Source organism: Homo sapiens, chromosome 2 (assembly GCF_000001405.40).
Source record: "Homo sapiens chromosome 2, GRCh38.p14 Primary Assembly".
Lineage (NCBI taxonomy): Eukaryota > Metazoa > Chordata > Mammalia > Primates > Hominidae > Homo > Homo sapiens.
This window is the reverse complement of record NC_000002.12, coordinates 235137104-235151217: the sequence shown is the minus strand read 5'-3', so window position 1 is coordinate 235151217 and position 14114 is coordinate 235137104. Positions and strand designations below refer to the sequence as shown.

The 14114-nt window shown below is 45.6% G+C and overlaps 1 pseudogene, besides 1 other annotated feature; it reads left to right on the top strand.

The window, feature by feature from the left end:
* The first annotated feature begins 3517 nt into the window (after nucleotides 1-3517).
* CEP19P1 (CEP19 pseudogene 1) lies at nucleotides 3518-4384 on the top strand (annotated as a pseudogene).
* Nucleotides 13900-14114: a silencer, noted in NCBI's record as "fragment chr2:236045748-236045962 (GRCh37/hg19 assembly coordinates)". NCBI's record gives its function as "represses an EF-1alpha promoter that drives an FKBP-Casp9 reporter gene in an ReSE screen in K562 erythroleukemia cells {active_cell/tissue: K562}" and the evidence as "EXISTENCE:reporter gene assay evidence [ECO:0000049][PMID:32094911]".

Below are 14114 nucleotides of genomic sequence, written 5' to 3'. Positions count from 1 at the left end.
AGTGCTGATGATCTAGTTTACAGATTGGCTGCATAATGTAGGGAAGCCAGAGAATGCTCACTTTCACAGCAGTCTGAGTGCTGGCTTTAGAGATGGGAGTTGATTGAGTCAAGGATCTAAAGAAAGTGCTCTTTTCCAAGCTGGATGGAGAGGCTCGAGTGCCTTGCAGTTTGACCTCCCTGCTGCTCCTGTCAGATTCCAGGGCCAAAGCCCACTCCTCTTCCATCCTGGTGGGGGCCATAATCAACCTCACTAACTACTGGTTCCCAAGCCTGGGAGGACACACCCCAGGGCTCTGCTTCATGGTATCCACAGCTTATGCACAAGCCAGTGCTGTTGTCGTTTGGCTTTTATCATGATTTTATCTCATCTATAATCTCTTTACCCTCAATATCTCTTATAAAGAGTTATCAGTTAGTTGCTGCTGTGTAACAAACCTCCCCAAAACTTAGCGGCTTAAAGAAACAATCATGCATGATTCCTTACAAGCCTAGAGTTTGCCTGGGCAGGTTCCACTGGACTTGTTGGTACATCTGTAAGCAGGCTGGATGATAGCTGGTCTAGCCTGGTCTCAGCTAGGAAGATTCACCTCTCTCTGTTCCATACATACATTTAGTCTCTCTCCTTCTAACCACTTAGCCTGGGCTTGTTTTCACGGTAGAGGCAAGGGTCCAAGTGAGACAGCAGAATTGTACAAAACATCTTGAGGCCTAGACTCAGAACTCAGTCGCTTCCACCCCACTCTGTTGGCTAAAGCAAGCCAAAAGACCAGTTCGATTCAAGGAACATAGAAATGAACTCCAACTCTTGAGGGAAAGAGTGCAAAGTCACATTGCAAAAGGCATGAGTGGAGGAAAGGGCAAAACATTGGGATCACTTTTGCATCCTCTACTGAAAGTCAATTATGTAACCCTGCTGGTTACATCGTCTCTGCAAGGGCATGTAGAGACTGGACGTAAATAGTCACACTGTGGGGCCATTTGTGAGCTGCCACTTTGCCATCAAGGCAGCTTTTTGTGCACACAGAGTTAAATCTGGATGGGTGCCTGGGAGTCTCCTGTCTACATGATTTGGTGTCCCTCTCTTTTTCTGCCACATCTGTCTTCTCTTTCTCATCCCTTGCCCCAGGAACCCTTGCTCAGAAAGTCCATGGAGATTTTAGTTTTGCAGAATTGCCCCGGAAGGGCAGCAGTTAACCCTGATACTCTTCCCCCAAAATGGGCTTGTCACACCATCCAGCTTCTTCCTGCAAAGTATCTACAACACACCCACATTTTCCCTGGCTGACTGACACCTCTCAGAAGATGGCTTTATTGCTTTATTGCCCTAATTCACTTTTCCACCAAAGGTGAAGAGAGAAAGGAACCATAGAGTGAAGGGTTATGGGAAGGGACTTTCCAGTAGACTTACCATAAACAAATTTGAGCTCTTTTTATTTGGGGGGTGACAAGAAAGCAGATGACAGATGGAGGAGCCTCTGTGGAAATGAAGACTATGTCCACAAAGCCCTCCTGGCGAATCCTCCCAGTGTTAAGATTCCAGCGTGTTTATGGGTGGTGGGCTGCAGACGTGCCCTCTTCTCTCTGGAACAGTAAAAGCAAATGCCTCTTCCTCTTCCACCACTGTGTCAGGGAAACAATGGGGCCCTTTAACTCCATTGGTTCTTTTCCAGGCCAAATGATGACATCATTAAGGCATCCGATTTTCTCCTTACATAAAAGAAGATTAATGGAAGACCACAAGAGGAACTATTGTTTTGCCAGCTTTGTTCAAATGTGTGGTTAAAATACTTTCTTTCACAAAACACAACATTGCCCCAGAGGTAACAAAAAACCCTTCTGTAGTGATGTGCCCTCCCTTCTTGAGCGAGACCACACACAAGAAACTGAACCATGCCCACAGTCAATGCCCCTGATTGTCCTGGGTCCTGATTCCTCACCAGTAGCCCCAGCTGCCAGGAAATTGGAACCGCATGTAAAAAAGCCAAGGTAAAACAAGCCCATCTGGACCATGGTCAGAAAAAAAATTCTATTTGCCAAATCCTAAGGTCTTCATCCATAAACAGAGTCAAGGATGCTGGAACTGGAAGCCTTGAAGGTGTGAAGGTGGATGGGTGACTTGTACTCTCTCAGCTGGGCTCCATGTCCTTTCTTATCAGTGATGAATGAAGACACCATCTGAGAAGCAATGGAGAAAGCTTATTTCTGAGATAATGATTCCAATCAGTTCATTATGTCACCTGTCATGGGGCCCCTGGCATTTTCCCAGCCGTGAGCAGAGCCCCCTCTCCATTCTATGGAGTCCTTGGGTCTTGGAGCTGTCGACAGGAGTTTGCCAAGGTCTGGAGGAAATTGGGTCCCTGTGGGTGGTATCCCCACATGGACAGCCAGCTGTGACGGGATGAACAATCACTTCTTCAGGCTGTCAGATGCTTTGGTCCTTGGGCTGCTCCTAATATTTTTTTCCACAAAGCTAACACAAGATGGGATGCTTCCTCTTTGCCTAGACTTGGCAAGCGTCTTATTGTTCATATAAACAATAGTGAGAAAGGCTATCCATGGCTTTGTAAAATATCCTTTGCCCAAATCAATACAAGTATTTCTGTTCTGAAACCCAATATATTAAATTCTGTACCAGTGCTGTCCAATGGAAGTTTCCTGTATGATGTAAATATTCCATGCTGTGCTATCCCATACATATTTGCATGTGGCTAGTGAGAAGCACCTGACCTGTGGCAATTGCAACTGAGGAAGTGACTTTAAATTTTTATTTTATTTAATTTAAATGTGAGTAGCCATGTGTCATCTATATAACTTTTACAGTTATGCACTTGCTTATAAAGTTTAACATACACTGACACATGACCTAGCAAGTCTATTCCTAGGTATTTATCCAAGAGAAATTAAAGCAAACGAACACACAGAGAGTCATACGCAAAATGTTTGTAGCAGCTTCCTTTATAATAGCCGAAGATAGGAAACCACACAAATATCTATCAACTGAGGAGCAGAAAAACAAATGATGGTATCAACATGTAATGGAATATTACCCAAAGGTGAACAGAAACACACTTCTGATACACAGCAACACTTTGTTAAGTGAAAGAGTGTCTAATTGTGTGATTTCACTTCTCTAGGGAAGGCAAAACTACGGAGACAGAAAGCAGAGCGGTGGTTGCCTGGGAGCAGAGGGGAAGGGAGGACCACCAAGAGGCACAAGGGGCTTTTCCCAAGAACGGACACATTCTATTTCTTGAATATAGAAAGTGGTGGTTGCGTGACTATATACTGTATACTGTCAAAAAACTCATTGAGCTGTACACTTAGAATGGGTGAATTTTGGTGAGCCCTGGGTGTTGCTGTGGAAACAGCTTAACCAGTGCCCCTCAGGACTCTGAAGCCATGCATGCCATCATGGGAGCCAGCATATGGTGCCCTGTGCCGGCCCCACCTCTACTTCCAGGGAGTTCATCCAGCCACATCAGTAGGACTGAGGCCGTTGTCTCTTCCTGCAGTACCAGGCTCTGCCCAGCCTCAAAGTCTACTTAGGTGCTCCTCTTTGCATTGCTGTTGGGTGGGAGCAACCCCTTCCAAGCAGTATAGATGTTGGCCTGCAGAAGAAGATGCCCTTTCTGTATTTTTCCAAGGCAGGAAGTCATTATGCAACTTACACATTTTCATCAGATTTCCTCCGATATCCTCTGAAGTGTGTGTGGGAATGATGTGCGCTGCCAAGAAGTGTGGCATCTGATTTTAGCCTCCAGCTAGCATCTTAATCTACGAGAATGAAATTCAAGGGGAGAATTCGCTCGCGCATTCTGCCAGTTCAAAATTTTTCAAAGTTTTCAGGTTGCACGCAAGCGGCTGAACAGCTAAAGAATAACCTACGACACGAGAGTTACCCGTAACAAGGATTCCCGAGGCAGCTAGAGAAGCTATCCGGTTTTTTACAAGGTTACCTGTGGAGGCAGAGTTGGGCAGAAACAATGGGACAAATTGGACCGGAAACAACCATTGATCCTGGAAAAGACCTGAACACACTGGATGACAAGGAGCTTGCCAAAAGGAAGAGCATCATGGATGAACTTTTTGAGAAAAATCAGAAGAATGATCCAAATTTTGTTTACAACATTGAGGTCAAAATCCCACAGGATGAACAGCTGCAGTCCTGTGGCTGGGACACAGTCAGCTCATAAGTTCTGATACGAAACACTCAAAAGATTTATTGGGCTAGCAGAATATTCATGTTTATATAAATAACATAGATTGGTTCTAGAAAAATCTTTAGAGAACACTAAAATGTATATGTTGAGTCACGGGGGATTGACTATATTACTTTTCAAAACCAGGACATTTAGAGCATCTACTATGTAGGTGCATGAGGAAAATAGAAAAAATGGAATAAAGGAATCTGCCTTATTTTTTGCTCTTTTGAGACAGGATCTTTCTCTGTTGGTCAGGTTAGAATGCAGTGGTGAGATCTCAGCTCACTGCAACCCCCACTTCCTGGGCCCAAGCAATCCTCCCACTTCAGTCCCCCAAGTAGCTGGGATGACAGGCGTGCACCACCATGCCCGGCTAATTTTTTTGTTGTTTTTTGTTTCTTTGTTTTTTTGTAGAGATGGGGTTTTGCCTTGTTACCCAGGCTTGTCTCAAACTTCTGGACTCAAGCTATCTGTCCACCTCGGGCTTCCAAAGTGCTAAGATTACAGGCATGAGCCACTGCACCTGGCAGGAATCTGCCTTTAAGGAGCCTATAATCTAATTGGAAGATGTCAAAACTTGTGAAAAGCTAATTAGCAGTATTAGGCAACCAAAAGATTAAAGCCAGATGCTTGATAATGGCTAAAGGTCAGAGCCTAGATGACTGTAGAGTAGAATAGCAAAGGAAGACTTTGTCCTTTAGTGAAGGACTTTGCTGGCCCTTGAAATGGTAGTATTTGGGTAAAAGCTTGTGTAGGATTCTAGAGAGGAGCAACTGAAAAGAAGGGGAGGGGAGATAGTAAAGAGATAAGAAATTATATATATATACACATATATAACAGTAAGTAATTTATAGTTTGGTAAGATTGGGGTGGGAAGTGATCTGGTTTGGCTGTGTCCCCACCCAATCTCATTTTGAATTGTAGTTCCCATAATCCTCACAAGTCGTGGGAGGGACCTGGTGGGAGGTAATTAAATCATGGGGGTGTTACCCTTATGCTATTCTCATGATAGTGAGTGAGTTCTCACAAGATCTGATGGTTTTATAAGGGGTTTTTTCCACCTTTGCTCGGCACTTCTCCTAGCTGCTGCCATGTGAAGAAGGACATGTTTTCTTCCCCTTCTGCCATGATTGTAAGTTTCCTGAGGCCTCCCCAGCCATGTGGAACTGTGAGTCAACTAAACCTCTTTCCTTCATAAATTACACAGTCTCAGGTATGTCTTCACAGCAGCGTGAGAATGGGCTAATACAGCGGCCATATTTGGTTACCAGGGAATTATCTTTTTATGTGTTTAACTCTGGAGAAGCCTCTGCAAAATGCCCTCAGCTGCAAGTAGCTGTCACCTGATGGACAGAAGGGGAATTCCACCCCTTGAGTATCAGGAAATATACACTGAAGACATTCTGAAGCCCTGAACCTCCTCCCATAAATAACATGTTTGTTTATAAAATGGGAAATCCTCCTACAATAAATGAACAATAGGTACTGCCAGTTTAGGCCTACTCATGACTTTGGATCTACAAGAGAAGATCTTTGTTTAGCAAGATTATCTGTGACTTCATACATCTATTCTTACTACAATATTAATTGCTAGAAATTCTATGTTTTCTATAAAAAAATTAATATTCATTAAATAAAACAGTAAAAAAATTTTAAAAAGTTGGTGAATTTTATTCCATTTAAATTATACTTCCATAACTGAGCTTTTAAAGACTCTATATAGCTTTTAAAATAAAAATTAGGAAATTAATTTCCTTCAGGCTTCATTCTTTACATCTCTCTTTACCTACATAGATGACCACAGAAAACACTAAAAGCCAAGTTGTAGGTAGCATCAGCTAGCCAGTCAGTGAAAGTAAGTTCTCCTAGATCCATCAGGTCCATGATTTGAAAGAAAACAAATGATTTTCCAAGAAACAGCATGTCCCCTTGGAGCTGTAATTGCATCCATCGCAATGAAGTCAAGCCGAGGCCAGACAAGATCGTCTCATGAGCCGCCTTTGCCATCTCTCAACGGAACGCTTCAGGCTCAGTGTAGATGCAACACCAGGGACAGAGGCAAGTGCCCTGGGGGACTCCATCACTCCCAGGCTGGACCAGGAAGCAGGGATGGAGCCAGCCAGCCTAAGCCCAGATCACCCCTGAGCACAGCCACGTAGAAGTTAATCTGCTGTGCTTTGAATGCTCACAGCGCCCAGCATCGTGAAGTCAGAAAGGGATCAATTTTCATTAATATGAAGAACCACACTTTGAGGGACGAGACTGAGTCCATTAGACTCCTGGAGAGGCACATTCTTAGTGAAGGGTGCGACAAAAGCATTGGATATTAGCTGATAAGATTGCAGGAGACCCAAACACTCCCAGGACTCACGAGGGGCTCTCTACCAGCCCCAATTCAGAACCTCAGGGTCATTACTTATCACATGAAGCAGCTCTTACTCCTAGTCACCAGCTGTTAGGATCCAAAAGTGGAATGAGAATTCCTCACATCCGGAATGACTCCCAATCTGGAGACCTCCCCTGCCAGGAAGAGAGTCCTTATGAAAGCCACCCTCCAGGTCTAAGCTTCAGAAACAGTGGCTGCTGAATGCATGGAGGGCAGGTGAGGGAAGCTGCCTGTAAATTTCAAAGCACTGCACACACGCATTCACCCCGTTTCCTCCTGAGACCCCACTAAAATACAGCAAAGGTTTTCACTTGTGTCATTTGTTTTATTCTTTAGTCATACATTTCCAAGGGCAAATAGAAGAGAAGACAAGACAATAGCAAAAAGGATTTGCAAGCCAAAGAGCGGCAGGACCAATTGCAACTGAACCATCCAAAAAACAGGAGAATCCTAACTTAGCAGCTGAATTTGAACCCTAGAGAGCCAGGAAGCTCAGGGATTGGTGGCATCCAGCACTCTGGAAGGGGATGAGGGTGGGCTAAGCACTGCAGGAAGAGTTGAAAGTCGATTAAAAGTACAGAGACTCCCAGATCTCCTTACCCTGCCCACCAACCAGATGACCTCACCTCCATCCTAGCAGAGACTAGAGGAGCTCCCGGAGGGGAGAACAGACAGGGTCTTGTGTGGAGGAAACAGCACCTCTGGGCCAGAAACACTGTTCTGAAGGCACTAGGGGAAAAAAAAGACATCCACCCTGCTTCTACCAGGGGGCTCCCAGAACCTCAGCCTTTGAGCTTCTAAGAATGAGTTTGCTGGAGTCCAGGAATCTGAATCAACATAAGAAAGCAATTCCCCAAATTGAACAGTTCATGCAGAACACCTAGAGCAAATGCGCTTCTTTTTTTTTTTTTGAGATGGAGTCTCACCCTTGTCACCCAGGCTAGAGTGCAGTGGTGTGATCTGGGCTCACTGCAACCTCCACCTCCTGGGTTCAAGCAATTGTCCTGCCTCAGCCTCCCAAGTAGCTGGGATTACAGGCACCCGCCACCATGCCCGGCTAATTTTTGTACTTTTAGTAGAGACGGGATTTCACCATGTTGGCCAGGCTGGCCTCGAACTCCTGACCTCAAGTGATCTGCCCTCCCCAGCCTCCCAAAGTGCTGGGATTACAGGCGTGAGCAAGTGCGCTTTTATCAAGACCCATCTTCCTATATGGAGCTTCCCACCGGCTTTTTAGAACATACAAGGAGACAAAAACTTAAAAAAAAAAAAAAACTATCAAAATCCCAGCAAGGACTAAAGAGCAAAAATATAATGCTTTTAAAAAAGTAATGTAAGGGAATAACAAGGCTTCTGAAATTTAAAAAAAAAAAAGAAGAAGAAAATGGTAGCAGTTAGAGAGAAAGAATCAGCTCTAGCACTCCATAGTACAGGAGGGTGTCAATAGTTAACAATATCTTATTATAAGTTTCAAAGTAGCTGGAAAAGAAGATTTGAAAAGGTCCCAGCACAAAGAAAGGATGAATGTTTGAGGCAATGGATATTCCAGCTAACTTGATTTGATCATTACACATTGTAGGCATGTATCAAAATATCACATGTACCCCATACATATGTGCAATTACTATGTGTCAATTTAAAAAAAAAAACAAGAATAAAAAACAAAAGGAGAAGACAGAGGAAGGCAGAAGGAAAGTCCAGAACTGAAGTATGTGGGTTCCCAAAGGGCAGGGACCAGCCAGTGCACAGCACAGCAGATGCAAATAGTCTTCCCAGGACACGTTGCCTTGAAATTTCCCAACACTGTGGGCAAAAATAACACCTTCCAGCTTTCAGAAAGGGCGGGGATAGCGTCAGACAAAGGATCCAGAATCAGTGTGCACTTTGGACTTGGCAAGAGCAATGCTGGGACAATAAAACAGTGTCTTCGAGACTCTGAGGAAAGGTGATTTCCAGCCTAGAATTCTATAGCCCTCAGTCTGAAGAGAGAGAAATACATTTCCAATTGCCTCTGAACACCAATGAAGATGTGCTTCACTGAATTGAGGGAATAAAGCAGGCAAGAGAGGGCACAGAATCCAGGAATCCAGGAGTGCGGAGGGTGGTCCCACAAGGCAGTGAGACCCAGCGAATCCTCCAGGGTCCTGGGAGGCCAACCCTGCAGGGCCCAGACTTTCCTGCAAGGCAAGAGGCTTCCATAGCACCCCAGAAAGAGACTTACATGTAGAGAGCACTGGATGGGACATTTGGGGATAAATCACTGTTAACTACGTTGGAAACTAGGCAAATAAAAACCAAGACCATCATTAACTCCTAGAAAAACAGAAGGATGTAGAAAGCTTATATATTCCAGGCTTAGCTGATATATTAATCAAGGCTCTCCAGAGAAACCAAACCTGTGGAACATGTTAGCCATACACACACACACACACACACACACACACACACACACACATATATATATACACATGCACACATACATACACACACATATGTATGTATGCATACATAACATAAAAAGAGTTATTTCAAGGAATGGGCTGATGTAATTGTGGGGTTAGCAAGTCCAAAATCTGTAGGGCAGCTGGCAGGCTGGAAACTCTCAGCCAAGAGCTGACACTGACATGTGGAGGCAGAATTTCTTCCTCCTCAAGGAAACCTCAGTTTTGTACGTAAGGTCTTTCAACTGATTGGGTGGGGCCCACCCACAAGGCTTAGGATCCTCTCCTTTGATTAAAGTCAATGATTGTAGACATTAGCCGTTTGTACAAAACACCTTCACAGCAACCCCCAGGTTGGCATCTGAATTAATAGCTGGGCACTAGAGCCTAGCCACATGGACACGTAAAACTAACCATCACAGCTGGGCATCGCATTTACGAGTTTAGATGAATGTAAGCACTGACTGTTGATCTCACTGAAGTTACTATATCACCTAATCGGGAGGTGGAGGGCAGGACACAGCTCAGGTGCGTTGTGGAGTCAAAGGAGTAAAACAGAGCCATGTCCTCAGGCACTGTGGCTGCATCGCTAGATAAGGACCAGGATTGCTACATCCAGCGCTGCGGTGTGATCTCAGACTTGCAGGTAGATACCAAGAGAATCTGCAGCTGTTGGTGAAGGCAGCTGGCCCCGGGAAATAGGAAATGGCGGTGAAGAGGATCACCATTGTCTAGAATGAACTTTGCAGAACAATTCCCCCTTTCAATCTCTGGGCATGTGAAATGTTGAGAATAGAACAACTAAATGAAAAAAATAATAATAAAATTTAAAAAAAAAACCCTATAAAGGGTGACTTAGGCTCTTCGTCCAGTTCCTCCTGATCCTAGTGTTAATTAATTCCCCCGAATTTCGCTGCTCAGAGTAATTTCCAGGCCTGGAGACCTCTCAAAGTCCCCTGTGTGTAAGATGTCAGCAGGCTCTGCCCATTCCAGCATCCCCAGGCCTCTCTACCCACTCCGGGCAATGGGCAATGTCCTGGGTAACTCCTAATTGTGAAGAGGAGAAGGCTGAGCTTTTTGGCCAGATGCAAAGGCCTCTTAGGATGGAAGGAGAGGATCCTCTGTCATCTTGCTTTGCTCTGTGAAGTTGGATTGGGGTCTTCAGGGAGAGCTGGGAAGGGGACGCGGGGTTGGCGCATGGGGAGAGAAGGGGAGGTCTGGAACCATGGGAGCTACTTGGGGAGGGGTGGACACTGGTGTGTAAGCTGCTGAGAGGCCTGAGCCACATATGGAGTTGGAGACCAGGGGTCTGTGGTGCTGGGCTGAGTTCCTGCAGCCCCATTCAGCATCAGTGTGGGAGATGTGATGCGAGCTGCTGGGCGTCCAAAGACAGGGAGGATGTGGGGCCAGGAATCTCTGCAGTCGAGCAAAGGGTGAGGAGCTGGGCTGGCAGGACGGGGAGCAGGAACAGGGCTGGGGCCAACGCTGGGACCGAGCAGCATGGGCAGAGGGAGGCAGAAGGGTAGGGCCTATGGCATGAGGCTCCCACTCTGTGCTTCAGTGTGAGCTGCCCATGGGTGTTGGATGGTGGCTGGCAGCATGGGGCTCAAAGGGGAGGAATCTGGAATGTGCATTAAGCCAGGAGCAGGCTGATCTCTCGCACCCCGTCTGCAACCCCAGGCAGGAGCTCTGGCAGAACAAAATCCTCTAATAGAGAGAGTGGAGCAGGTGCTGGAGGTGTTTAGGAGCTTCAGTCCTGGCGAGGCGGGCAGGATCACGTGGCACATTGGTTTGTCACATTAGAAAAGAGTGGGTTCAGGGGGGTCGACGGAGACTGTGTTACCAGGAGGGATCTGAGACAGCCTTCAGAAGGGAGCTGAGAGGAAGATAGGGGGTTAGAGTTGGGAGCAGCGGGGAGGAAGACGAGATAAGACAAGGTTGGCTTATCTGCCGATAGGCCTGGCCTCATATAGTCAGGCTCAGGACTAGAAGCTGACAGCACATTAGCAGAGAACCTGGGTCTCGGTGCCCTCACATACAGATACCTCCCCCAACCCAGGCCTGTGCACACAGATACTTCCCCCAACCCTGGCCTCCACATACAGGTGCCTCCCCCAACTCAGGTCTCCGCATACAGATGCCTCCCCGAACTCCAGGTCTGGGCATCGGTTTTCTTTCCAACCCCGTGTGTACTTTTGCTTGTCAGACAACATGACCAGGAAGCACAGTGGGTTCATCTTTGAACAGAAACTGCAACAACCAACCAACCAAACTGCCTTGAGGTGATGTTCCCAGTCTGTAGATGAGGTACCTGGTAAAATCTGCTTGTCTCTTCGAGTCATTTTGGGTTTTGATTGTATTCATTCTATTTTAAGTTTGTAAACAACCTCAAATCATTTTTAAAGACCTACACACACTCTAAGTAAAAATTATTAATGAATTCACCACCATCTTTTAGTTTGATGAATAAGTACAGCCAAGTCCCAAATGATAAATTAGGCTAATAACCAGCAATTATTGGTTTCATATTGAATTTCTTTGGGACTTAAGCCAAACATAAACTGGAACAAATTGTTCTAATTTAGAAGACAGAGAAATGAACAGGTCAAATCTAATATTTTAAAAGTATTTTTCAAAAATGGCAGGAGAGTCCAGCGATAGGCAGAATAACCACACCCACCCCCCAAATGTTCACATCCTAATCCCTGACATCTAATCTCTGAACATCTGACTTTACATTTTGCATTTTGCAGATGTAATTCAGCTAAGGATCTTGAGAAGAGGAGGTGACCCTGGAATAGGTGAGCGAGCCCAACGTTATCACAGGGTTTTATTTATTTATTTGTTTATTTATTTATTTGAGACAGAGTCTTGCTCTGTCACCCAGGCTGGAGTGCAGTGGCCTGACCCTGGCTCACTGCACCCTCTGCTTCCCTGGTTAAAGCAATTCTCCTGCCTCAGCCTCCCGAGTAGCTGGGACTACAGGCGTGCGTCCCCACACCCAACTAATTTTTTATATTTTAGTAGAAACGAGGTTTCACCACATTGGCCAGGATGGTCTCGATCTCCTGACCTCGTGATCCACCCTCCTTGACCTCCCAAAGTGCTGGGATTATAGGTGTGAGCCACCGCGCCAGGCCCATCACGGGGTTTTTATAAGAGAGAGGCAGGTCAGAGTCAGAGAGGGCAATGCGAGGACACACTTTGAAATGGAGAAAGGGACCATGAGCCAAAGAATGCAGGTGCCTTCTAGATGCCAGAAGATGCAAGAACGAATTGTCCCTGGAGCCCTGGGAAGGAACGCAGCTCTGCCGACACTTTGATTCTAGCCTGTAAGACCCGTGTCAGGCTTCTGACTTCAGCATGAGATAAGTTTCCACTGTTGTAAGCCATTAGGTTTTTGGTAGTTTGTGACAGCAGCAATGAGCAGCAGATGCAAGTCCAACCCTTAGTATAAAATATTATCCTGGAAAGTCAAAAGAATCTCTGAACCGACCGTGGACTCACACTTCATGTAGATCAAGTTTCCTCTCCGTCCCTGCCACTGGGGACTCTGCAGACTGCCAGCGGATGAGAAAATTCCATTGCCCGGGCGCTGGTCAGTCACAGTGACGAGTCGGTGGCTTAGATGAGAGATCCTCCCACCCAGCTCACCCACTATGCTGTGACTTCGGAAGGACCCAGAGCCCCTGGTGACACCAATCACAGTTAAGGCCCTAGGGATGTAGCTGTTTCTGGGGTCTGGGCTCCCTGCTCCTGGGGCCTCCTCATCCCTGCCCATTGCTGATGGGTCTCAGCTACTGGTGCTGGACTTTTCCCCCCAAATCCAGCTCGGCACTGTACCATATTCACAAGTTCCGGGGATTAGGATGCGGATGTCTTTGCAGGTGGGGGCTATTATTCTGTTTACCATAGGACTCTAGGGCCATTTTTGAAAAATAATAACTTTGATTCGAAAGCTCCATCTTAAGTGTTTATTTCTATCTCCCAAATTAGAACAATGTAATCCAGTTTATAGTTAATTTCAGTCCCCCAAAAATTCAATATGCCATGAATGATTACTTGTATTTAGGCTGATTTTCATGTACGATTTCAGGGTGTTGGAAAGACCATGGAGGTGTGGATGAGAGCTAGGCTTCTGGTAGCTGTGGATACCTGGCCTGGGGAGACAGAGAGGGGTGAATAGTTCAGTTTAGTCACATGAGGCCTTTCAGCAACTGCAGAAAGCTCACAAGCTAGCCATCCTGAAGCCTGTTCTGATGACCTGTCACAGGAATGACTGGGTTGATTTCAGGAGCCATGGCAACCACTTTGGGGCCAATGGCCTGTGGTATTATCCCTGGAAGGTTCAGAGATTTTCAGACCCCAATATTTAGGAAAAAAAACAGGCCTCCTTGAGGCAGGATACTAAGAAGGAACCCTTCTTCATAACCAGATCCTGCAGGCAGGGCTCATGTTGTTGACTTATTTATTTGTTTCTACAAAGCAGGCAGCCAGATTCTCAAGGCAGTGGGTGGGTTTGCCCGGGTGCAGATGACAGTGGGGGTGTTGGCATTGTCTGAAGTATGTTGAACAAGAAAAATAAAAACAACTAAAATCCAACTGCTTTTTATTATCATCATATGCCAGCAATCCTAAACAATGTCAATAATAAAAAATACTCCCACGTGAAAAAGAATCTTGTTTTCTATTTGTTTATTTATTTATTTTTGGTCTCAGTCAAAAACAACTGCTGTAGTCACTGTTTTAATGATATATATGTAAGCTTCAGCAGAGCACCTTTGTTACTACTCACTTTACTAAACATTGTATTCTGCATGGAAGGTAATTCAGAGAACTCCCTGTTATGTGGATGGGGTTTGATAAGGCTGTGGGGTGCAGTTTGGATCTCCCACTCCAGTCTATGCATAACCCCTCTAACAGGGGATTTGCAACCAGTTGTGGCAGCATGGAGAAGCAAAGACCAAGAACCAGAATGCTGGTGGCTCATGCCTGTAATTCCAGCACTTTGGGAGGCCAAGACAGGAGGATTGCTTGAGACCAGGAGTACATGACCAGCCAGGAGTTCATGACCAGCCTCAGC